Below are 24,739 nucleotides of genomic sequence, written 5' to 3' on the forward strand. Positions count from 1 at the left end.
TCTGCCGTGAAGTCCCAGAAATAATGGCAAATATAATGGATAGAAAAAAAATCAAACGCTACCTATGTGCTTGTGCGGCAGCCAACTTCGCAAAATGTTATGAGTGACCAACACTGCGGAATCCAGGTGTGCCCGTGCCCAATTTAGTCACAGCAGCCATAAAAAATAAACAGGTATTTTACTTAAAGCTTTTGGTAGGTGGGTTTTTAGGGCTAAAAACTTGAAAAGCAAGAATGTTTTTTGCCATTAGGAATTCTTCTTGATAGATAGAGATTTGCATTTTTTTTTATTTCATACAAGATAAAACCATGATGGATTTAGATAAAATGCCTCCGCTTGGTCTGTAAAAGGGAAAAACTTCAAGCTTTCTGTACATGTTTTAAAATGGCCAGGGAAACAAGTATTTCTACTTTGTTTTTCTTTTCCCAAGGGTGGGAACATACTTCAAAAGTATGTGAAGGCTGAGTTTCTAACAAAGTCAAATAATATTGATGCTTATCAGTACAGTGAAACCGACAATAAGGATGTGCTCATTTGAGGTTTCACAGCAGCCGTGTTACTGCAGAGGGGAGTCCGCAGGGGATGGGAACTTATCACGACTGTTTCTGTGAGCCACACGTCAAGCACATCCACATCTTCCACCTGCGTAATCCTCACAGCTTCCTAGAGGGAGCTGGTACTACCACCACCATCCTCCTCCTCCTCTTCATCATCATGCCCGTTTTTACAAATGAAAAAGTGCAAGGGTTCAGAGAGGTTAAGTAACTGGCCCTGGATCACACAGCAGGGCCAGTGATAGAGTGGGATTTGAACCCCCAGTCTGACATGAAAATATTTTGCAAATTCATCGTCTTGACCAACCCTCACAAAAGGAAGGAAACAAGCAAGAAGCATTATGCCTGGGGTCCTGCAGTCAATGCAGAGGGACTTCGGAAATGGGACGTCCTCATCCCTCCTGGCTTAGGGAACAGCCCTGAGACAGGAAACAAAGTGCTTGTCCTGACATGTGGACCGCGGGGCCCTCTGGCTGCTGTAAGGGAATTTCTGAAGTCTCTCCTGGGAGCCTCTACAGTCCTGAGTGGATGCCAGGAGCAAAACTTTGAATTCCCCATGCAGCACACAGTCGGCGTTGACCGCAGGCTGTGGGTATGAGTGTGACGGGCCGTCCCGCTGGCCGCTGGAGGACAGCAGGTATGAATGGAACCGTCCTCACCACAGGTTCAGTCTGCAGCTCAGAGTCCCTTCACAGCTGAGCTTGGGATGGATGCCTGGCCCCCTCTGTGGGTTTACACACAGGACATCACCCAAGAACAGAATAGCTCTTACAGCTAAGATAAGAAAAACCTGGGCTCCAGCGCCAGCACCAGCATGCTCTCCACCCCTTCACTGGGTTGGGGTTTCTTTTTGTTGTTGTCCAATATCGCCATTAACTCCAATTTTACCCATCTCTAACCCTATCAAATCTGAATAGCTTGGAGGCTAAGCACAGGCCACGGAGTCAGAGACCCCAGCCCTGTGCCTTTCTTGCTGGAGCAGATCCCTTTGGGTCTCCAGCCCCAGTTACCTCCTTTGAGCACTGGAAAGTGAGACTGGGGCAAGGATGGAAGGAGAGCCTGAGTGTTGTGCTTAGGAAAGTGCTGGCAGGTCCTAAGTGCTCCACCGTGGCAGCCACCACTTAGTGACAACAGGACAGTAGTGACACCAGGAGGGCCAGGAGGAGACCCCTGCAGCGTCCTCCTGCGCCCGCAGCCCACTCTCCCCCAGAGGGAGGCTTACTTCCAGCGACGGTGTGCCAGGAGGCCCCATTGACAGTGCCCTCCTCCTTCTGGAAGTCCTCCGTGTGGCACACCCTCCTCCGGGCGTCTGTCATGAGGCGGTGTGTGGAGGCATAGGAGTAGGCCAGCCAGCGGAACACGTGGTCGTCGGGGGTGGGGGTGTGTTCCTGCGTCTTCCAGGGGGACCGCACCAGGTCGTAGGGGTACGCCACCACCAGCTCGCCGCCCTGCAGGTTGCCGCCCAGCACAAAAGGGATTTTTTCCATCCAGGCTATGACTGCTCTGGTCTCGGCAGCCACCTGTGAACATCCCAAATGGACGAGTAAAATAAGCAGGAAGTCATTTTATCTCCCCAGCTGTCAAACAGGGACATAGTCGAAAAAGCAGTGCTTTTGTGGAATAATCTTAGTAAAGTTCAGAATTTCAAAACCAATTCTGGGAAAATGTGAAGGAGACTTAGAAAGACTCATAAACCAATCAAAACGAACAGGCTTTGTTTGGATCTTGATTTAAACAACCTTGGGGAGGGGGGAATAACAGGGGAAATGTGAGCACTGACCAGATACTTGACAATATTAAGGAATATTTTATTTTGATATAATAATGGTAATGCCTTATGTTTGTAAAAGAGTGCCTTTATTTTTTAGAGATACCTACTGAAATCTTTACAAAGGAAATGCTATGATGCCTGGGTTTAGCTTCAGTAATCTGGGGGAGGAGGAGAAAGAGAGGAAAGATGTGGATGAAACAGGAACTGGTTAAGTGTCAGAGCTGAGATGGGTCCATGGCGATCCTGGGCAGCTTCCTCCCTAATTCTGTATGTTTGACATCGTTTAAGAATGAAATTCAAGAAAAAAAGAAAACGATGTTAAAAGCTAAAATTTGAAAGTTTGATATGGTCAAACATTGATCAGTGAAGCAAGTATTTATCATAAATTGCTAATCCCTGTGAAGATAATCTCAGTAAGATCAAATCGACAATGACAAAGAACAGATATTGGAAATCATTTCACCATGCAGTACAGAAAACTGAGTAAGGGATGAAATGGACTTGGGATTCATTAAGTGTTGCTGTTTCTGTTTAAACACATCAGGGGCCCTGGATTGGACCAATGAGAGAGCTTAATTCATTGCACAGCATCACTGTTGGTCTGTGCTTGGTCCCCCTCTGGTTTTATTTATTTATTTCACACGGAGTCTTGCTCTGTGGCCAGGCTGGAGTGCAGTGGCGCGATCTTGGCTCACTGCAACCTCCGCCTCCCGGGTTCAGGCGATTCCCCTACCTCAGCCTCCTGACTAGCTGGGACTCCAGGTGCACACCACCACGCCTGGCTAATATTTCGTGTTGCAGTAGAGATGGGTTTTCACCATGTTGGCCAGGATGGTCTCGATCTCCTGACCTCGTGATCTGCCCGCCTCAGCCTCCCAAAGTGCTGGGATTCCCTTCTGTTATTTATTTCAATATGGAAAACACCTGTGAACCCACCATCCAACCACAGACCTCACTAACAATTTCTGTTGTGTGTGCCTACACCATCCTACCTATCCACCCTCCTGCCTCCCACTCGGAGGCACCCACTGTATCCTAAGTGATGTGATTCTCATTCTGTCTCTTTTGTTTTATCCCATATGTGTATACCTCAAAATATATCGTTTGGGTTTACTTGCTTTTGATCTAAAAAAAAAAAGGCGGGGGCAGAGGGGCGCAACTATACTGCTGGTTGCCTTCTGCAATTTCTTTTTTCCTCCCACTTAGTTTTGTGGTTCCCAGATTCATCCTATTGTTGAATAAAGCTATTTCCAGGCTTTTTTCACTTCAATATGGCGATCTCATTTAATGTGTTAATACCTATTCTTAGATGACGGGCATTGGTAATTTTCAATCTTTTGCTATAACGAACAGTGTTGCTTTGAACTTTCTTTTACTGTCTTCTGGTACATATGTGTTGGAATTTATCTTGCACATATCACCAGAAGTGAAATTGCAGAGGCATACGATATAGAAATATTCTACTTTACAAGATAATCAAGTTACTTTCCAAAATCATTATGCCAGTGTATACTCACCCGCAATGTATAAGAAATCTACTGTCCCATATTCCCTCCCACACTGGGGGCTTTTTACTTTTGCCAAACAATGGACATATAATGTTCTCTCATCTGCGTTTCCTTAGTACTAGTGAGGTAGAACATCTTGTCATGTTTATTAACTCTGTTTCCTCCTCTCTTACCTTTTGTCCATTTTTCTACTGAATTGTTCATATTTTTATTATTTGTTATTCTTCAGCTTTTAAATTTTCAACTTTCTCAGTTATATAATTTATAAATAACTCCTCCCAATTTGTAGCTTGTCACAGTTTTTCAAATCTTTTGATGAACAGGCTTTCTTATCTCCATGTAGTCGAATTTACTAATCTTTTATGATTAATGCCATTTGTATCTTACCTAAAATAGCCTCCCTTACACTAAAAGCTATATTCAAAATTTGGCGAGATAGTATTGTGAATAATTGTTAAATTTTGTCAAACACACCTTTCTATAGACAAATCACTTCATATTATTTCTTTGTTTCCTATCATTTCATTGATTTTTGCCCTTGCTTTTTATTTATTTTATGTATTATAATTTTTTTTTGAGACAGGGTCTCACTCTGTTGCCCAGGGTGGAGTGCAGTGGCAAAATCTCAGCTCACTGCAACCTCCACCTCCCAGGTTAAAGCGATCCTCCTACCTCAGCCTCCCAAGTAGTTGGGACCACAGTTGTGCACCACCATGCCTGGCTAATTTTTGTATTTTTAGTAGAGACAGGGTTTCACCATGTTGGCCATGCTAGTCTTGAACTCCTGACCTCAAGTGATCTGCCTGTCTAAGCCTCCCAATACCCTTGTTTTTAAATTAATCTCCCTTTCTTTGGGTTTCTTCTGTTATTAATTAATTAATTTATTTATTTATTTGCTAACTTCTTAAGTTAGTTAACTCTCAGCCTTCTTTTGCAATGTAAGAACTTAAAGTTATAAATTTCCCTAAAGCACTATTCTTTGCTGTAATCCACAAATTTTCATATGCAATATTTTCATTATTATTCAGTTCTAATTATTTTTTAGTTGCCAGTATTTTTTTCTTTGACTTATTCTTTAGAAGTTTTTTATTTTCTAAATACATGATGAGGTTTTCATTAATCTTATTACAACCTTCCAGTTTAATTGTATGGTGGTGAGACAAGGTCTGTCTGACACCTATTCTCTGAAATTTGTTGAGATTTCCCTTATAAGCCCAGTTTATCATCAATTTTTTAAAATGTTACAGGATTATTGAGAAGAATATTCTCTAATCATTGGTTATAGAATTCTTATACGTCCCTTATGTCAAACCTGTTAGCCTTGTTATTCAAATCTTTATCTTTGCTGATTTCTTATCTATCTAATCTATCCACAATTGAGAAAAGTTTTGGTGATGATAGAATTGTGTAATTCTCCTTGTAGTTCTAGACAACAAGCTCAAATAACTAAATTCTAGTCTAAAAGCAAAGACTGAACATCCAGAGACTCTGTACAGTTGTGCTAAAAGGATTACTTAGATCTTATAGCCTAGTGGCTAAGAAAGCTGGCAACCAAATTCCAATTTTGGTCTAAGTGTTCCCAAAGTATAACATAGCTCGAATTCTCAACTTTGCCAGGTGTCATTAGGATGTTAGGTGGAAAAACAAACAAATGAACAAAAAACAACTAAAACAGGTTCTGTGGGAAACATGAGAGCAGATTTAGAAGATGGAAGACTCAGGGGCCTCCCTAGTCTACTGCCCACATCAGCACCCTTGGGCATCCTAACTGAACCAAGTGGCATTGCCGCCGTCTGTCTTCATCACCCTACTGCTCACTTCTGGAGGGCCTGGATGACCCCGTACTGTGAGTTACTAAAGGAGCCCACCCTGCTGCTCCTCCTCCAGTACGTGGCACCCACATGTGCTGTGCTGGGGGCTGGAACGCCAAGGGAGAGCAGCTGTCCTGTCTCCAGCTCCCTTGAATCCCCAGTAGAAGTCCGATCTTTTGTTGTTGTTGTTTGTTTGTTTTGAGCTTGCAATATGCTTGTCTAAAATATAGCATTTCCCAGCCTTCCTTGCAGTGGTTGATACCACATGCAACTGAATTCTGGCAGGTGAGAGTTAAGCAGAAGTAGTATGTAGAACCGCTTATAGGAAATTGAATTACCTGAGAGAAAACTTTTTCTTTTCCCCAAGCCCTTTCTCTCCTGTTCCTTCAGAGACGTGACAGCTGGAGCACCAGCTGCCACCCTGGATTATGACCTTGAAGATGAGTGTCACATGCTGACATGGCAGAGACAGAGAGAGAGAGATGAATCCTGGGTTCCTGATGATTACCAGGTTTCTACTTGGCACGCCCTTGGCTGGCTTCCAGGGTACTTTTATGTGAAGAAAGAAAGAAACTTTTACCTTGTTAAGGCACTATTTTGATTTTTCTGTTGCTGCAGCTGAACCTAACACTAACTTATATATCAACAAAGGTAGAACTCTTGAAGGGTGTTTAAGATCAAAGAATCAGAGTAAGGAGCTCAACTATGATGACCAGGAAAGATAATAAGAGGTATGGGAGAATTATTTCTTCTACAACATACTCTTTGTAAAACAAGACCTAAGAAATCTGGGGAAATATTTCTCATCTAATTTCATTTTTCTTTCCAAAGAAACACCACATGTAGTAAACCCAAGGGGATGTACTAAAATAAAAAATAAGATACATTAAGCAATCAGTGAGGGCTAAGGATAACTTCTTAGTAATATAACCGACAGTGAGAAAGATAATAAAGGTAGTAACAAACATGTGCAATTCAGGGGAGATTGTTTGGGTTTTGAAGCTCCATGTGCTTGTTAAGAAATACAATTAGATGATTTCTCCTCTATGAAGAATCTCCCCAAATATCCACCTAAAAGGTAGTTATTATCTAGCATACTTCTCTGCTTTTGGAGAAAACATGAAAGAAAAAAACAGTTTTGTCTCTTTCTTAAATGTGCTATCCTCTGCAAATACCAATGGAGGTTAAGCCTTGCCTTTGGCTGCTTTACAGATGACGGGTATTTTGACTCACCGTGGCATTTTCCGACAGAAACCACTCAGGGATTGCAATATAGTGATTGGGAACTTTCCTGGGGACATTCTGTCGATCCTCTGCCTCCCAGAGCAGCGTGTTTAAATCAGGAAAGTTGTTGTTGATGTCAATTCCATCGTGGGTCCAGCGTCCCAGGGACCAGCCTCCCAGCTCCGAGCCCTGGAGACAAGTGAGAGTGTGAAGAATGCACAGGCTGCAGGACAACGCGGACCCTCTACCATACAAGATGCATCTGTCTCCACTTCCCCTTGGGGAATGTCTCTAAGCCTCTAGATGCCCTTTGACCCAAAGATGGCATCTAAAGGAGAATATTGAAAAACTTCCTATTAATATTTGGTGGGTGATAGATAGTTCAGCCAAATTACTCCAAAGAGGGAATGCAGAGAACCACCCCTGCCACATGGAAGTGCTTAAAAAGCATTAGGTTCCTTCTTCCACCCCTACCTTCCTCTCTTCTATACTGGCCAGGTGAACCTCTGAGTAGCAATGAACTCATCAATGGCCACCACAGTAATGCATTCTCCCTGCCTGCCCATGATTCTGGCTCACTATTTAGCAATGCAAATTCCTAACTGACTATATCTGCACCAATAAATGTGACCACATTTCTATACTGTAAAGCTTGCATTTGATAGGTACCCTTGTTTTAATATAATTTTCCATTTTATTCCCAGGTATTGAGATATATCACTGTCAATACACAACACAACATAATACTAACTATATGTTCTATTTATACATAATTCTGTACATATGCATATTCTATGCACACCTATAACCTATATACATTCTATATCATAACTGGAACACAAAATGTAAAGAACGTATCAGAATAATAAAACAACTATCCTCAGAAGACTGATGAGAAGATTAAAGGTAATAATCAAGGCTAACACATGCCATGATTAAGTCCTCAGCCAACATAAAGTGTTACTATTGGATTCCATTATCATTGTGTATATAGCAATATTGATGTTCATCTTCACGTCCTCCAGTTGGTCGGCATGTCCACCTCTCAAGGCCACCATCATTCTCAATGCCTGCTTTGCACTTTTCATAAACCTTGTAGGCTTCCCTGCCTCAGCAGAGACACTCAAAAATAAAACTCGTGTGGCCAGGCACGGTGGCTTACACCTGTAATCCCAGCACTTTGGGAGGCCAAGGCTGGCGGATTACCTTAGGTCACGAGTTTGAGACCAGCCTGGCCAACCTCCTCTCTACTAAAAATACAAAAATTAGCTGGGCATGGTGGCTGGCGGCCGTAATCCCAGCTACTTAGGAGGCTGAGGCAAATCGCTTGAATCCAGGAGGCAGAGGTTGCAGTGAGCGGAGATCACGCCACTGTACTCCAGCCTGGGCAACAGAGGGAGACTCCGACTCAAAAAATAAATAAATAAATAAATAAATAAATAAATAAATAAATAAATAAAGCTCGGAAGGTGGAATTTTGCATAGCCCTAGGGCCAGACATACTCTGGAGCTGGGGCCTCGCTGCCCATGTCCTATTGGGTGAGATGGGCCAGGGCCATTACCCCTTCGTAGGCCTTCTCGTAGCCATCGGGGTTGAGGGAGGGGAGGACGTGAATCCGCGTCTCCTCCACCAGGTGGACGATGCGCGCATTCCGGGCCAAGTACTCCTGACACACGAACTGCACCAGCAGCAGCAGCAGCTCCCGGCCCAGCACCTCATTGCCGTGGGCCCCCGCGATGTAGTGGAACTCGGGCTCACCTTTACTCAAAGACAGAGAGAAGCACAGGTTCACGTTGAAACACTTAGGGCCAAACGGTGCTTGTCACATTGTGTTGGGGGGAAAGTCTTGAATAATATAAGCTTACCGTTTTAGACCTATTTGTTCTTTCAAACAAACCTCTAAAATGACATCAGGACAACTGTCTTATTCCCAGACAGTCAGGTATGTAAGAAAATGTGTAGAAAAATCTGACATGACACCTGTCACAGGGGAATAATGTCCATTTTTACGTACCAAGAACAGATCAAATAACATAGTGCTGAGGGCTTAACATTCACAAGTTGAGCACAAGCCGTAGCAATCAGTGCCTCTCTTTTGGGAGGCAATTATTTTTCTTAAAATAACTTCCTATTAAGTTTAACAAAGACAAATGAATATAAGCAGAGAATAGTCCATCAGGGCAAATCAGCAGTGACACAGTGTAAAGTGGGCTTTCTTTAGGTATTTTCTCTTTCAAAGCTCAGCTTTTAAAATCTCAGGGTGCTATGGTTTAATGTATGTGTCCCCCCAAAATTCATATCCTGGAACTTAAGATCAAATGTGAGTATTAAGAGGAGGGGCCGGCCGGGCGCAGCGGTTCACACCTATAATGCCAGCACTTTGGGAGATGGCACCAGTGCAGGAGTTCAAGACCAGCCTGGGCAACATGGCAAAACCCTAACTCTACAAAAATCAAAAATAAAAAAAATTAGCTGGGCATGGTGATGCACACCTGTAATCCCAGCTTCTCAGGAGGCTGAGGTGGGAGGATTGCTTGAGCCCAAAAGGTGGAGGTTGTAATGAGCCAAGACTGTGCCACTGTACTCCAGCCTGGGAGACGGAATGAGACCCTGTCTCAAAAAGAGAAAAAAAATAAAAGAGGTGGTGCCTTCAAGAGGTGATGAAAAGATAACTCCTCTTATAAAAGGGCTCCAGAGAACTAGCCAGGCACTTTTGACCTTCTGCTCCTGCCATGTAAGACAAGAAGGGGTCTTAAGAGGAACAGCCCTCACCAGGCACTGAATCTGCCCGTGCCTTAACCTTGGACTTCCCAGCTTCCCGAACTGTGAGCAATAAAGTTCTGTTGTTTAGAAATTTCCCAACCTCTGATATTTTGTTACAGCAGTCAGAAAGGACAAGGGCCTGGCATTTATCAGTGCTGGGCTCGAGCTGACAACACATCTCCTTCCCTCATTGGCAAAGCTGCTGCTTTTGAGGAAATGTGATTTTACCAGCAGATAAAGTTTTTACCATTTAAAATAAACTCCTGCTGGGCGTGGTGCCTCACTCCTGTAATCCCAGCACTTTGGGAGGCCAAGGCAGGTGGATCACCTGAGGTCGGGAGTTCGAGACCAGCCTGACCAACATGGAGAAACCATGTCTCTACTAAAAATACAAAAATTAGCTGGGTATGGTGGCACATGCCTGTAATCCCAGCTACTCAGGAGGCTGAGGCAGGAGAATTGCTTGAACCCAGAAGGCAGAGGTTTCCATGAGCCGAGATTGTGCCATTGCACTCCAGCCTGGGCAACAAGAGCAAAACTCCATCTCAAAAAACAAACAAACAAACAAACAAAACAAAACAAACAAAAAAAACCACTTCCGGAGAGGAACTCCTGAGACCCTGATGAATGTTAAAGTAAATCAGCCAAATCTTTGCACCTAAATATCAGCAGATTTCTAAACAGCTCCCAGATTTACCAAAAAGAAAAACAGAGAAGCCCATCTGACCTATACAGGTGCAGGCTGGGGAGTGACTGAATGGGAAATGTCTGAAAACAGGAAATATCTAAAAATATAATTGAATTTTTTTAAGAATGGGGAGAAGCTCCTCTAATATGAGCCATTAATGATCAGGGAATCCTGAAGGAGGAGGAAATTCTGTCCTGCCCACCTCAGCCACTTTCTTCTTTGGCTATTGTGATTGGTCTCAGAGGTGGACGACAGAGAATGAAATATGCTCCATTTGGAGAAAAGATGGGTATTTCCAGTGTAAATAATTCTATAGTCCATATCATAAGATGAGTGGTTCACAGAGCCAACATGGGCAAAATCTGTCTACGTGAGACAGCAGTGGTGTGGACAGCTGATGCCCTGTGGCATGAATCTTCTCATAGGGTGAACAGTCTCCTAACTGTTTACATGAGTACCAAAGATGAAGGGGCCAAGCATCCCAGAGGGGCCCTTCTCACCGACTTCATGCTCCCCAGGGTGATCTGAGATCTCCACAGCATACAGCTTCAGGCCCTGGTGGCTTTTTCCAATGTTGTAAATTCTGGTGATATTGGGACACATTTCATTCACAACTTTCATCAACTGAAAAACAAGGTGAATCAAAAACTCTAAGCATTGATGACGATGCACTAAAAGGACAGAGCTCCCAAGAAAACGGACACCTCTTGCTTTCCTCCACAGCCTCCCAAGCGCCCCCACATTCTGCACACCCCAGCTGCTATCGCCTCTGCCCAGAACACTCTCCTTACATCCCTCTGCCCTGGATAATGCCCACTTTCCTTCCAGCACCCGCTCTATCATCGTCCCCCTAGGAGGAAACTCCTGGCCATTGCCCCCACCCGGTCCTGTACTTTCCACACCCCTTGGTTGTGGCTATCACTTCCTGTTATCCTCCAAATGTTATGTCTCTCAAAATCCATAGGCTGAAACCTAATGCCCAATGCATGAATTGCTAGGCCCTCTAGGAGGTGATTAGTGTCCTTACGAAAGAGGCCCAAAGGAGCCTGTTTGCCCATCTGCCATGGGAGGATGCAGCACGATGACGGCCCTGTGAACCAGAGAGTGAGCCCTCACCAGACCCTAGATCTGCCAGTAACTTGATCTTGGACATTCCCACCTCTAGAACTCTGAATAGATTTCTGTTATTTATAAGCTACTCAGGTTACAATATTTTAGCATGAATGGACTGAGATACTTGCTGATAGGGTTTGGCTGTGTTCCCACCCAAAACTCATCTTGAATTATAGTTCCCATAATCCCCACATGTCATGAAAGGGACCGGGTGGGAGGTAATTGAATCATGGGGGTGGTTTCCCTCATGCTGTTCTTCTGATAGTGAGTTCTCACAACATCTGATGGTTTTATTAAGGGGCTTCCCCCTTCACTCAGCACTCATTCTGTCTCCTGATGCCCTGTGAAGAGGTGCCTTCCGCCATTATTATAAGTTTCCTGAGGCCTTATCAGCCATGCAGAATTCTGAGTCAATTAAAACTCTTTTCTTTATAAATTACCCAGTCTCATGTATTTCTTCATAGCAGCATGAGAATGAAGGAATACACCTTCCTTAGTTGTGACTATCACCTCTCTGGTTGTGGCTATCACATACTTGGTTGTGATTATCAACTCCCTGGTTATGGTGACATCTTCCCTGACTGTGGCTATCACCTCCCTGGTTGTGGTTATTACCTCTTTGGTTGTGATCATCACCTCCTTCGTTGTGGTTACCACCTCCCTGGTTGTGGTTATCACCTCCCTGGTTGTGGTTATCACCTCCATTGCTATAGCTATCGCTACCCTGGTTGTGGTTCTCACCTTCACTGTTGTGGTTCTCACCTCCCTGGTTGTAGTCACCACCTCCCTGGTCATGGTTATCACTCCCCCGTTTGCAGTTATCACCTCCCTGGGTGTGGTTATCACCTCCCTGGTTGTGATCATCACCTGCCTTGTTCTGGTTATCACTGCCCTGGGTGTAGTTATCACCTCCCTGGGTGTAGTTGTCACCTCCCTGGTCATGGTTATCACTCCCCTGGTTGCAGTTATCACTCCCCTGGGTGTAGTTATCACCTCCCTGGTTGTGGTCATCACCTCCCTGGTCATGGTTATCACTTCCCTTACTGTGGTCATTACCTCCTCCATTGTGGTCATCACTCCCCTGGTCATGGTTATCACTTCCCTTACTGTGATCATCACCTCCCTCTTTGTGGTCATCACTCCCCTGGTCATGGTTATCACTTTCCTGATTGTGGTTAACACCTCTCTGGTTGTGGTTCTTATCACTCTTATTGTGTCACCACCTCCCTCATTGTGGTTATCAGCTCCCTGGTTGTGGTTATCACCTTCCTGGTTGTGGCTATCACTTCCCTGGTTGTGGTTATCACCTCCCTGGTTGTGGTTATCACCTCTCTGGTTGTGGTCATCCCTCCTTCATTGTGGTTATCACTCCCCTGGGTGTGGTCCTCATTCCCCTGGTTGTGGTTCTCACCTCCCTGGTTGTGGTTCTTACCTCTCTTGTTTGTGGTCACCACCTCCCTTGTTGTGGTTCTCACCTCTCTGATTGTGAGCATCACCTCCCTCTTTGTGGTCATCATTCCCCTGGTTGTGGTTATCACTTCCCTGATTGTGGTTATCACCTCTCTGGTTGTGGTTCTTATCGCTGTTATTGTGGTCACCCCCTCCCTCATTGTGGTTATCAGCTCCCTGGTTGTGGTTATTGCCTCCCTGGTTGTGGTTTTTATCTCTCTCATTGTGGTCATCAGCTCCCTCATTGTGGTTATCACTTCCCTGGTTGTGGTTATCACCTCCCTGGTTGTGGTCATCACCTCCCTCATTGTGGTTATCACTTCCCTGGTCGTGGTTATCACCTCCCTGGTTGTGGTCATCACCTCCCTCATTGTGGTCATCATTCCCCTGGTTGTGGTTATCACTTCCTTTGTTGTGGATCTCACTTCCCTCGTTGTGGTTCTCACCTCCCTCTGTGGTGGTGATTACTTTTCTCACTGTGATTTCCTGCTTCTTTATTGCCCACTCACTACACTGCAGATCATTGAGGAGACAGACTCAGCCTTTTATCTTTTATGCCTGACCAAATACATGTATCTTAATATCAACTTTTTCTCATAATTTAATGAGCATCTACATTGTTGGGTTGAGCAAATACACACCGCTCCTTCCCTCCTGGAGCTTGCAGCACACAGCCAATAAGAGGCATGCAATGACCCAGTTCATTGCCACTAAGTCAGCAGAGCATTGGGTCACCATGACAACAGGAATCATGGGGTTAAATGGTAGGAAAAGCAGGCTTCAGCAAGGAAGTGAAATAAATGCATGCTGTTTTCTGAATTTTGCCTTTTTAGTCAGCTCATCACACTGATAGCTGAGGTCTGGGAAAATGAGACCAGGGGCCAAAGGAGGTACCAAGGGCTCTGCAAGTCACAGGAGAAAAGGCTACCCTAAAGGTCAAAGGCCAGAGACACCCTCTCCCTAGAGGCTGCCTTGCCTCGCGTCACTGAATGAGTATCTGTGAGTTCACTGCAAATCTGTGATTTGCTAGGCTAAATTTGTTTATCAATACCCAAGTGAAAGAAGATCTGATTCAAAGGGCATCTCTTTTTTGAGCCAGGCACCTGACCATGCAGTAAGGGCCAGAGGGTTCCAGGGACAATTTCATGACAGTGTGTTAAAGACCAGGAAGGACGCCCAGGTGCTGCAGAAACACACAGGAAGGCCATCCTGGTCAGGGTGGCCGGTGGGCAGGTGCCCGTTAGGGAGGCCCGTGGCCTTCTGAAAGCTGAGCTGGAACTGAATTGATGCAGAACAGAGGAAGGGCATGGCCCACAGCGGGGTGGCGTGGAACTGAGTGCGTTCTAGCAAGCTGCCAAAAAATCGGATCAACCGAATTATCCATAAAATGTCCTTGTAAAGTGTAGATAAACAAATCTGTTGCAAATTTTATGGTGGGTTGAAATCTATTAGAACTGGAAAATTGGTATTATGTAAAATTTATGATACGTTGGAGTTATATGGCTGTGTGCTTCATATGCCTTTCATAACACAACATTCTGTAATGACTGGGAAGAGTGGTTTAATGAGCATCAAGGAGCGTTTCTAAAGGAGTGGGAAGATTTACTATAGCCTGGCTTTTATGACATGCCTATGAGAGGTGACAGGTGCAGCCTTGACTGGGAATTCAGGGCCTAACTCTCTTACTGCTCCAGGGGTTAAAACAGGCTTCCCCTTATGATAACTCACTTTGTGTCACAATATTTAGGTGAGAGAAAGCTGGCTACAAGGACTCTTATTCCCAAGAATGCTACAACAGAAACCCATCATAAACGGAGAAGCAACATGCAAAGGACATGTAGCTTCTACAGCCATCACCATGAAGACAGACACTGCCAGGACAGCAGGGGGCCACATATGAATAGCACCATGTTTTAATAAAAGACACAGTAATAACGTCACCAATTGTGTTAACAAGAACAGGAACAATACGTTCCATTTCTCTACTAAGTCTCATCATCATGACTGGCAGGTAAAGTAGAGAAGGCAGAGGAGATTTTTCCCATTCTACAGACTTGGAGACTAAGGCCCAGAAAGCCATCGAATAATTTACCCTGCGTCACCCAGCTGGGAGCAGGAGAAGCCAGGACTTTGGCCTTTCAGGGCTCTTCCCTTACCCCTATCTGTCCATGAAGGTGTAGTAGAGAAATGAGAACCAGTGCATCTCTGCTGCTTGTTTTATTTGCTGCACACTGTGACCATTCTGATGGCCACAGCATACTTGCCATCTCCTTTGAGACCCCATATACTCGTCCCTGCTGATGCAGTCATTCTCAGCCAACAGCATCGACCTTAGCAAATCCTAACTGGCAGGCAATTCACTGTCTTACATTGGGATCAGTAACTATCTCTACGGACATAAAGCCTGGTGGCTCATCACGAACTAGGCAATGAATGCAAGCATTCAGCCCAGGCTGGCTTCCTTCACTGTTACCCTAACCCCTTCCAATTAGCTGTGGGAGAAATGTGCTGTCAGTACTAGAGATCACGGCCTTGACACTGGAAGAAGAAAAACATCACCTTCCCTTGAGATGCACACTTAGCCATGGCATGGGAAGATGGCTGGGCCACGAGCCATCAGAATGACCTCCTGATGTTCTACCCACTGTCACTGTACTTTCATATCAGCCACACTTTCCCACCGATGGCAAAGTATTGGTTAACAAAGTGCATGCCACTGTGCCATGGTGTCATAAGCATCTTTCCCACATGAGACCATGGGCCTTTGAAGAATCTTCTTCTCAGTGAAGTTTCTTTACAATTCCCTCTGCACGGTGGCCCTCTGCAATGCCAGGAAGCATCTCTCCAGTGGCTACCAGCACCATCAAAGACACGGGTGGTGGCCACTCTGCTCTTCTGAGCAAGGCAACCATGAACATCCCCAGGAATGAAGTTTCCCATTTAAACGCAATTAATTCTTGTAAAGGAATACATTTCTTCTTGAAAGGGGTCAAAGATTTTTTTTTGGAGTTTGCGTCTTTGTGGTAAATGTTTGGGTCTTGATGACTTCAGTCAGAGTAAGGAATAGAATTTTCACCATGGCCTTAGAACATGCATTCAAAAGGGATGACATCACCCCAAGGGACTGAAAACTGTGGCTAAAAAAGTCTTAGGTATTACAATGCTTTGTGGTCCCCCAAAGCTCAACCCTATCTGGCAAAATCCTATTTCTTAATATTTAATATAATGGAGGAGGATGAGTAAGAAAAGAAAAGAAGTCTGAAAAGTCTCCCTAGGTGGGTAGTAATGAAAAAGAATGTTGAGAAATACCATCTTAGAAAGCACCAGGGTTTGCAAGACTCTTGGTCTCTTCAAGACTCTGTTTTCCCAACTCTGAGATGGAAATAAACTTTGCATCCTAGTGTCTACTGAATCCCAGGCTCTGCTGCTTCACTCTCTACTGAAGGATATAGAATCTAGAGCCTCAATTTCTGGCAAAATATCAGAAGGAAATTTTTCATAAAGATGGTAAAATGTTATGCGCAGTGACACTTGTTGTGGCATGTTTCATACTTTGTCAGTATTCATTAAAAGTTATGAATTGGGAGATAATCCAAATGCTCCAGAGCAGGAAAGAAGCTGAGAAAAGTATGATGCATCCACTCACCAGAACATTCTGCAACCTCACAATCACAATTATGAAGACAGCATGGAAAATGGCTAATGATCCAATATTCGCTGAGAAACACAGGGCCAAGATGTAACTATCCTCTCATCAAAACCGTAGGAATTCTGTGAATACAGAAGTTCAAACACCGGATGGAAATGGGGAGAAAATGAAAACTGCCTTTTTTTTAGAGTAGTGGGTTCGTGGAGGATTTGTCTTTAGGCTTTTGGTTTGCATTTGATGCTGACACAATATTGTTTATCCAGTGAATGCAAGTTTTTGTTTTGTTTTGTTTGTTTGTCTTTTAAAGAGGAGAGTGGAGAAGAGGAAAGTTCTCTTCTGCCATCGTTCCTCATTTGTCTGAGAAACAGGCACCGCACCTGGCCCAATGGAAAAGAAATTCCAGAAGAAGGGAAGAGGGAAGGAATGGAGTTGAGTGTGTCTGGATCTAAAGGCTTGCTGCTCCGCCCTGGCTTCCTGTCCCCACAGGGTCAGGCTGAGTGTGGTGCAAGTGGGTGGGTCAGCCATGGTCCCCACAGCCTGATGTCCCCGGCCATCCTTAGTTGCCCTGGAAATCAATGTCATTAGATGGCTGCCTTCCAGCCTGTGTCTGCCTATGTTACTTTTTTCCACCCATATCACACTGTCTACATATGGGCCATCAGCCAGTACTTCCTGGGCATTTGGGACCTGACAACACTGTGCCCAAACCAAAGTAGGTCATTAACCTTGTCCTCAAAATCACTTCTTCCTTTTCTCCACAGAAGCACACCAGGCCTCTCTCTCTCCCCAACTCACTCCAACGGGTGACCTCCACTGGGCAGCCTGCCTCAGGAATGCCTCTCCTCTCATCCTTCTTCAGGCACAGAGGCCCGCCCTCCATACAACTTCCAGAAAGACAGCTCTGCACACCTAAAGAACCTCCCAGACCCCTGCATCAGGACAACAGCCTCTCCTGGCACTCAGGACCAGCCTCCTCCTAGCTGCCTGCAAATTGTCACAGAACACACCTGTCGGCTCTGACCCCATGCCTTCACTCTTGCTGTCCTCTCTGCTCAGAGCACCCTCCCACCACCCCTGCCTGCCAGTGCCAGCCACGCACGTTGGATGACAGCTGACCCCCTCTGCAACCAAAACCTTCCAAACCATGGCCAAGCAGATGGCTCCCTTCTCTCTCCCATCCCCCATGACTGTAAGGACCTCAAATACACAGATTGATCAAGTGTACACTTATGGATGATAAAATGACAGGGTCTCTTCCCTCATTGTCCCAAGTGAGGGAGACAGGCAATGTACATATAAACCAGCAATTAAGCAAGTATAAATTGCAACACACGCTATGAAGGTCCTCAGTATTTTCTTGGAATAATTCCCTTTCTCCGCCTTATAGTGTCAATGTCAGGACTTTCTCCTTCCTCTCCTCCTCCCTTCTCCACCCCAACCACCTGCAGCTTCCCACTGCCTGGAACTGTGCCTTGCAAGTCAGTGCTCTCTGCAAAAAAAGTCCCCTCATTATCTTCCTCGTACAAGGCAATAAGGTTTTCTATTTTCACTTCTTGCTTCCTGCTTCTGTTTCTCATTTGTTTTTTGTTTGTTGTAAATGTCTCTTTCAATAGTAGGAAAAATGAACAAGTTTTTCCTGAGGGAGAAAGATTTCTACAGTAACCTAGCAGACTCCATATGGGGAAGTTGCTCAAAATATTGACTTCTTTCCCATTCCCAGGAGCCAGGAATCCAAATGGCAAATCATTTCTGGCTTGAACACTCTTCAGGATTGATGGGCGCTCTCCTGGACAGTCTCTAGTTGATAACTGCTGAGCTGTGGGATCGCACAGGGGTCTCCCAGTGTCACCCAAGGGGGCTGCACTGATTATCCAAAGGTCCCTCTTGGCTCCAGTAGTGATCAGTCGCCTAGAGTAATGAAGCATACTCCGCTTGCTTTCCTTGTAAGAAAAGAGCCCCAAGTCTCCATGCATGACAACTATTTACAGATAACAGCTACCTAGAGTCTCTGTGCAATTCACTCATTTTAAATGCATTGGGATTTATTGCTTTTGACATTAATTGCACTGAGTTGATATTTGTCTCATTTCTGAGCTCAAGAAGCTGTCCTGAGATGTCCAGTGAGCAAAGCGGAGTTAACACACCAGTGCTCCATAAAATGGAATGGCAAGCAGAGCCATATAAATACCCTCAAAATGTAGAGCAGCAGGGATGATTCACAGCCCTCAAGTCCAAACACATTCTCTTGATTTCTGAAGAGCAAGACAGCAAGAAGATTTCTTAGCACATCCCACCTCTAAGTCTGTGCTGACAGGTGTCTGGAAGCTGTGTGTGAGTATCTCAAGTTAGATCACATCAAGACAAACCCGGCTTGTTCATTCCATGGGATTGGAGCTCCGCTTAATTACTCTGACCTCAGAAACATCTTCCACATTTGTAGTGGATGGCTGCTCCCCTCCCTTAGCACCTACAAGCCCTCCCTTTGAGCCATGTTAATTTGCCCTTGCTGAATCCTTGTTCTGTAAATGTATTCAGAAGGACATTTCTGCATGTTCTGTCTCTTCAGATTCTTAGCTCTCTAAGGATTTCTCATTTGCCAGCTCCTCCCCATGCTTTCTAGCACATGCTGGGGGTGGGCACAGAACAGGATTTCATAGGCACCGCACTTAGCGTAGGTACTGCCTTTTTAGCTTGTCCTAATAAACACACCGTCCCTTCCCCCTTCTGCACTCGGTATGCAAATGCTGTCAAAAGCTCAGAACTATTGGGTTTCTATAATTAAATCTGGGGAAAAATCTCATCTGGGATTGTCTTTTCTTTCTAAAAATACTAAGAGCTATGAAGCTATTAACCAGTAGTTCTGAAACCTGGCTGGACAGCAGAATAACAAAAAGAGGATTTAAAAATCTGGATCCCCAGGCCCCTGTCTCCTAAGGATTCTACTTTAATTGGCCTGAGACGGGGCTCAATTATCAGTAGCTTCACAAATTTTCCCAGGTGATTCCAATATGCAACCAAGATTGAAACTCTGAGAAACTGAATAATAAGGGGTAGTGCTATAGTCTCTCAGTGCTGTTTTCCCATCTGTAGATAACAATAACAACAGTCCCTACCCTTCTAGAGTTATTAGGAGGACTGAACGTGATCATGTATGTAAGTTGATCCTATGTGAATATTTCCCACTATTATTATCTATGTCATCCTAGATCCTTTTTCTTCTTCAACTCTGCATATGACCAACATCCTTAAATCAGTGATAGCACTCAAAAACACAATAATTCTCAAGACCTAGAATATTAACTGAGAAGAACCTGGATTCAAATTGTGTTTCAACAATCTGCCAGCCAGGAAGCCTTCCTCTGGTCACCTGAACCCAGAATCTTGAAATGACAAGCATTTAGTGTGTCTTCAGCAAACCAAATGATCATTCAGATCCCTAATCATCAATTTCTGGAAAAAAAAATTTAAGTGCTTATGGACACATAATATGTTGCTTTTTTGACAAATTCCTGGCATGAGGCTTTGTGATCTGGGTCTTACCTGGCGCATTTCCTTATAATTGTGGTGCTTAAAATCCAGGTCATCAGTGGTGGTCATCTCGTTCCGGCGGTGATAATAATTATTAGGATCTAGGGACAGAAACATGATTTTGCATTTACTCCCATCATTCTATCTCCCATGGCACCTCTGTTAGAGACACATGGGGACTGCACGGACAGTGCAGCCCAATCTCTAGCTTCTAACGTTGGCTCAGAGATGAGAAAACCAACCTGCAGGAAGCAACTTAGGAGTCCAAATTACCCAGTGGTTAAGAGTGGGGAGCCAGAATGCCTGGGTTCAAATCTCCGCTCTTCTACTTACATGCTGTATGAGTATGTAAGTGGGCAAGTCACTTGCACAGTGTTTGACTTGGTTTTTTACCCATAAACAAGAAAAAGAATGGTACCTCCCTCAATGGTTTATTTTTAGCATAAATGGGACAAATCTATGCACCTGGCAAGCTGTCAACACTGCATAAATAAATGAGTGAATATCGTGACTACACACACATACTTGGAGACTTCTGGAAGGATGTGGACCCTATAAGCCTTTTACCCAGCATTCATTCCCCTTCCTTCCTTCCTTCCTTCCTTCCTAAAAAAGTCCTATGTTTGGGAATCCCTTTTTCCACTTCTAGGAAGATCTCAAGTCCCCAGCTCCAGGGCTCCAACATGACTGGACAATCAGAACACAGCATCTACTGGCCACTGTAATTGATCCAGATTGAAGGGAAAGACTTGACTGACACAGAGGAGGATTGAGTAACAATCTCTCCCCAGCAGTAAGAATACAGAAGCATGTTGCCCACTTGCTACTGTGGCCATCTGACCTCAAGAAGAACTAGCCTCAGGATGACTTCCGTGATGTGGATGACCCAGAGCAGAAGTCAGAGAACTCCAGTAACACTAAGAACAACTGAATCAACCAACCCCAGAGCCCAATCTTGGACAAGATAAAGAACCCCCTTTGCAGCTAAGCCAGTGGGAGCTGGGGTTTCTGCTGTGGGAGCTGAAGCACCCTGGCGGGTATAATCAGAATGTGTTAACAGAGCTGACCTTTGGGGACTGGGATTCGGGGGGTCAGGGAGGCAATGTCTGCTCTTCACTTGATTCCCTTCCATATAAATTGACTCCCTCTCTGCATTCCTATAAGCCTGTATGGTTTATATAGTTACAAAACCCAAGAACACAGGGCAGAGAGGAGAGGACAGGGAGGAGCAAGAACAAGAAGGAGGGCAACTGGGAAGAGACCACTCCATCTGCCTCGAGGTCCCCCAGCCAGCCTGGTGGCATCTCTGTCAGGAAGACGCCACTGGAAATGTGGTGCATTTTCTGCTCAGTGTTCAGCGCTCCCTCCAATGCAGAGAACCCGCAGCCCTAGGAACCATGTGAGCAATGTGAGAACCATGCAGCTGTCTGTTTAACCCAGTGGCTCCTAGGGCCACTCTAGAGGCAGTGGGGGCAGTAGGGGGCCGAACACTCTGTGTTATGTGGAGCAGCGAGGCCAGATCTGTGCCACCAACTGTGGTCCACAGACCAGTAGCATTGCCTGTTCGCTATACCCAGCCCCGATCTACTGAATTAGAAACCACATTGCAACAGGATCCCAGCTGGCTCTGCAGACATTCACAGTTTGAGAACACTCACACATGTTACACACATCTGCCATCAACTGAGCCAGCCCTGTGCCTGCATCCCCACAGCCACAGGTCACAAGTGCCATACCCGAACTGATCGAGGTTCACTTAAAGACTGGCTTCACCCTTGAGAACAGCCCACTTGCAACAAGTTAATAATCACATATCGACCCAAGCACTGAAAACACAGCTTTTAATATTCACAAACGGCTTTCCAGTCATGCAATTACAAACAAATAACTGTTATGCGAAGGGAAATAATGTAGGAGTGCAACTGGCATTTTGTCCACACAAGAAAGCAAAGTCATTCCGGCTTAGCCAGATGCCTCAGTGATTTCTCAAGCCCTTTCCTTTTAGGAGTGGAGGCTGACCACACCTCAGGCAAGCTGCCTTCCCTTTGATTTCCAAACCTGCCAGTTTCAAAGCAAAGGCAAAACATGTATTTTGCATTCATTTACACCTAACTTACTCGCAGGCTATTTTCTAAGAGCTATTCAACACGCCCTAAACCTCGGGGGCGTCTTTTCAAAGGACTTTAAAGCCCCTTTTGTTTTGGAACACAAATTATGCCTTCAAGGTTCTCAAAAAGGATTGAAGAAAAACTGAGAGCCCTAAGTACAAAAGAGCTCTATGTTTGGCAACATTCTTCCTTCCTCAAGGCTAATAGGGCTTCTGAAAGGTATGGGTACCTTTTCCAGAACTGTCTCAGAACTTCACAACTTTCAGTCACCCACATTTTGAACAAATACTCCCTTACTTGTCCATTTATTCTGATTAGACAAAGTTTTATTGAGACCCTCCCTATTAGGAGCCCAGCACTTAGGTAAGAAATGAGTGAGGACCGAGCCCAGAGTCCACAGACAGAGCCGGTTAGTCATCTAAGCCTGCTATCCCCTGCTTCCTTCTGTGGACAAGAGAAGCCCTTCCTCCTGTCAGAGTTGTTTGAACCAGAGTGACTCCATCTTGAATAGGAGCTGCGGAAAATGAGGCTGAGACCTGCTGGGCTGCATTCCCAGTAAGTTAGGCATTCTAAGTCACAGGATGAGATAGGAGTCTGGCACAAGGTACAGGTCATAAAGACCTTGCTTATATAAAACCGGTTGCAGTAAAGAAGTCGGGAAAACCCATCAAAACCAAGATGGTGACAAGAGTGACCTCTGGTAGTCCTCAGTGCTCATTATACACTAATTATAATGCATTAGCATGCTAAAGACACTCCCACCAGCTCCAAGACAGTTTACAGATGCTATGGCAAGATCAGGAAGTTACCTTATATGGTCTAAAAATGGAGGGACCCTCAGTTCCGGGAATTGCCCACCTCTTTCCCAGAAAACTCATTAATAACCCACTCCTTATTTAGCATGTAATCAAGAAGTAACAAGAAATAGAAGCAGCTGAGTGGCCCATGCCGCTGTTCTGCCTGTGAAGTAGCCATTCTTTCTTCCTTTACTTTCTTAATAAACTTGCTTTCAATTTACTCTATGGATTCATCTTGAATTCTTTCTTGCACGAGGTCCAGGAACCCTCTCCTGGGGTCTGGATTGGGACCCCTTTCCGGTAACACTCATGTGGGGAATCTATTCCAGGTGCTTCAGATATGCAAGTGTAAGCATGTGACTCAGGAACACACTTCCTTCCTTCAGCTAGGCACTGGCTCAGAGATGATCTCCCAGGATCCAAGCCAGGCCGATCAGATGACTTTTCTCACAGAGCTTGCAGGAGCACAGTCTCTTCTGCTGGAGCCCTTGGAGGGTAGGATGTGAGTGGGAGGTGTGTGTGGCCAACCTGCCAGTCTGCAAGTTAGTGACAGAGGGAGCCCTGACCTCCACACAAAGGCCCTGAAATGTCAGATCTATTCTTGCCTAAAGCCAAAGTCAGACCTGCCCCTGGAATTTTCGCTTATGTGAGCCCTAATTTCTTTACATTTTTCTTAACCTAATTTGAGTAGGACTTCTGACCTTTGAAACAGGAATTCAGGCTGATCCAGTCTATGGGGGCTTTATCCTTACAGAGGGAGCTTTGATCCCTTCCTGTGGTTACTTCTATACCTCCTGTATATGGAAAACTAGCTGATTCCTCTGCAACACCTTAGTTATGTGGATCGACAAACTCCAGAAGTAGCGCCTGAAATGCTCTTTCCAACCTTACTTCCTTATTAAACTACTCAAGCATTCTGCTCTGTCCAAATTGGTCTACTAATCCTGCCCTGTTATGGTCTGAATTGTGCTCTCCCACCAAAGAAAAGCTATGTTGGAGTCCTCACCCCCAGTGCTTGAGAGTGTGACCTTGCTTGGAGATGGAGTTCTTATGAAGGCTTTTGAGTTCAAGTGAAGTCATTAAGTGAGTCCTCATCTGATAGGGAGATTTGAATATGGACACACACAGGGGGAACACCAGGTGAGTGAAGGCAGAGGCTAGGGTGATGCATTTACAAGCCAAGGGATGTCAAAGGCTGACATCGTACCACTGGCAGCTCTGAGAGAGACCTGGAACAAATTCTCCCTGACAGCCCCAGAAGAAACCAGCCCTGTTGACACCTTGCTCTCGGCTTCTGGCCTCCAGAACTGTGGCAGGATAAGTTACTCTAAGCCACCAGTTTGGGGCACCTGGTTATACCAGCCCTAGGAAGCTACCACCTGCCCTAAACATCTCTGCCTCCTCACCCCTGAGTCCTCCTGTGGTTTTCTTTTGACTCCTCAGAGACCAGAACAGATGGCCGCTGCCCCATAGGGCCTTCTGGTCACCCTCATCTCAGTCATTTCTTACTCCTCAGACATGGTCATAAAAATAAATCCTTCAATCACCTGGACTACCCTTCATCTCCTTTCAATAATCTATTCCCAGGTATCCCTGATGTAAATTCTTGGGAGCCCTCTGGAGACTTAAGAGCTCACTCCCTCACGAAGCAGCCTCTGGTGCTATTTTCAGCCCTGATTGCTAGGAAGGTCCTCCTTTATCAAGCTGAAGTCTACCTGCTGATCTTAATTCTTTCCTCTTCAGCTATGATGACTAAGCCTTCTCCCGTTCACGTA

General features: G+C 45.0%; 1 protein-coding gene and 1 long non-coding RNA gene across 8 annotated transcripts in view, besides 3 other annotated features; one reads left to right on the forward strand and one right to left on the reverse strand.

The window, feature by feature from the left end:
* The window catches only part of CPXM2 (carboxypeptidase X, M14 family member 2), a 198,466-nt gene that overhangs the window by 14,457 nt on the left and 159,270 nt on the right, over positions 1-24,739 (reverse strand). For 6 of the 7 annotated variants that reach the window (XM_017015673.2, NM_198148.3, XM_011539285.3 and 3 more), the window contains 5 exons: positions 20,072-20,160; positions 10,821-10,944; positions 8,431-8,627; positions 6,878-7,057; positions 1,777-2,074 (listed from right to left, as the gene is read on the reverse strand). In XM_017015673.2, the coding sequence (XP_016871162.1) occupies positions 1,777-2,074; positions 6,878-7,057; positions 8,431-8,627; positions 10,821-10,944; positions 20,072-20,160 (888 nt within the window). Of the gene's footprint in view, positions 1-1,776; positions 2,075-6,877; positions 7,058-8,430; positions 8,628-10,820; positions 10,945-16,528; positions 16,608-20,071; positions 20,161-24,739 lie in introns of those variants that run through there. The other variant, XM_017015674.2, reaches the window with a different exon arrangement.
* Positions 613-1,515: an enhancer, noted in NCBI's record as "H3K4me1 hESC enhancer chr10:125520224-125521126 (GRCh37/hg19 assembly coordinates)". NCBI's record gives its function as "activates a minimal SCP1, AML or CMV promoter by ChIP-STARR-seq in naive and primed H9 embryonic stem cells {active_cell/tissue: H9 hESC(naive and primed)}" and the evidence as "EXISTENCE:reporter gene assay evidence [ECO:0000049][PMID:30033119]".
* Positions 1,516-2,418: an enhancer, noted in NCBI's record as "H3K4me1 hESC enhancer chr10:125521127-125522029 (GRCh37/hg19 assembly coordinates)". NCBI's record gives its function as "activates a minimal SCP1, AML or CMV promoter by ChIP-STARR-seq in primed H9 embryonic stem cells {active_cell/tissue: H9 hESC(primed)}" and the evidence as "EXISTENCE:reporter gene assay evidence [ECO:0000049][PMID:30033119]".
* Positions 16,663-17,755, forward strand: CPXM2-AS1 (CPXM2 antisense RNA 1). The gene is made up of 2 exons (XR_946423.3): positions 16,663-17,018; positions 17,293-17,755. It is a non-coding gene; the product is annotated as a CPXM2 antisense RNA 1 (long non-coding RNA).
* Positions 21,834-22,581: an enhancer, noted in NCBI's record as "NANOG-H3K27ac-H3K4me1 hESC enhancer chr10:125541445-125542192 (GRCh37/hg19 assembly coordinates)". NCBI's record gives its function as "activates a minimal SCP1, AML or CMV promoter by ChIP-STARR-seq in naive H9 embryonic stem cells {active_cell/tissue: H9 hESC(naive)}" and the evidence as "EXISTENCE:reporter gene assay evidence [ECO:0000049][PMID:30033119]".

This window comes from Homo sapiens, chromosome 10, assembly GCF_000001405.40.
Source record: "Homo sapiens chromosome 10, GRCh38.p14 Primary Assembly".
NCBI lineage: Eukaryota > Metazoa > Chordata > Mammalia > Primates > Hominidae > Homo > Homo sapiens.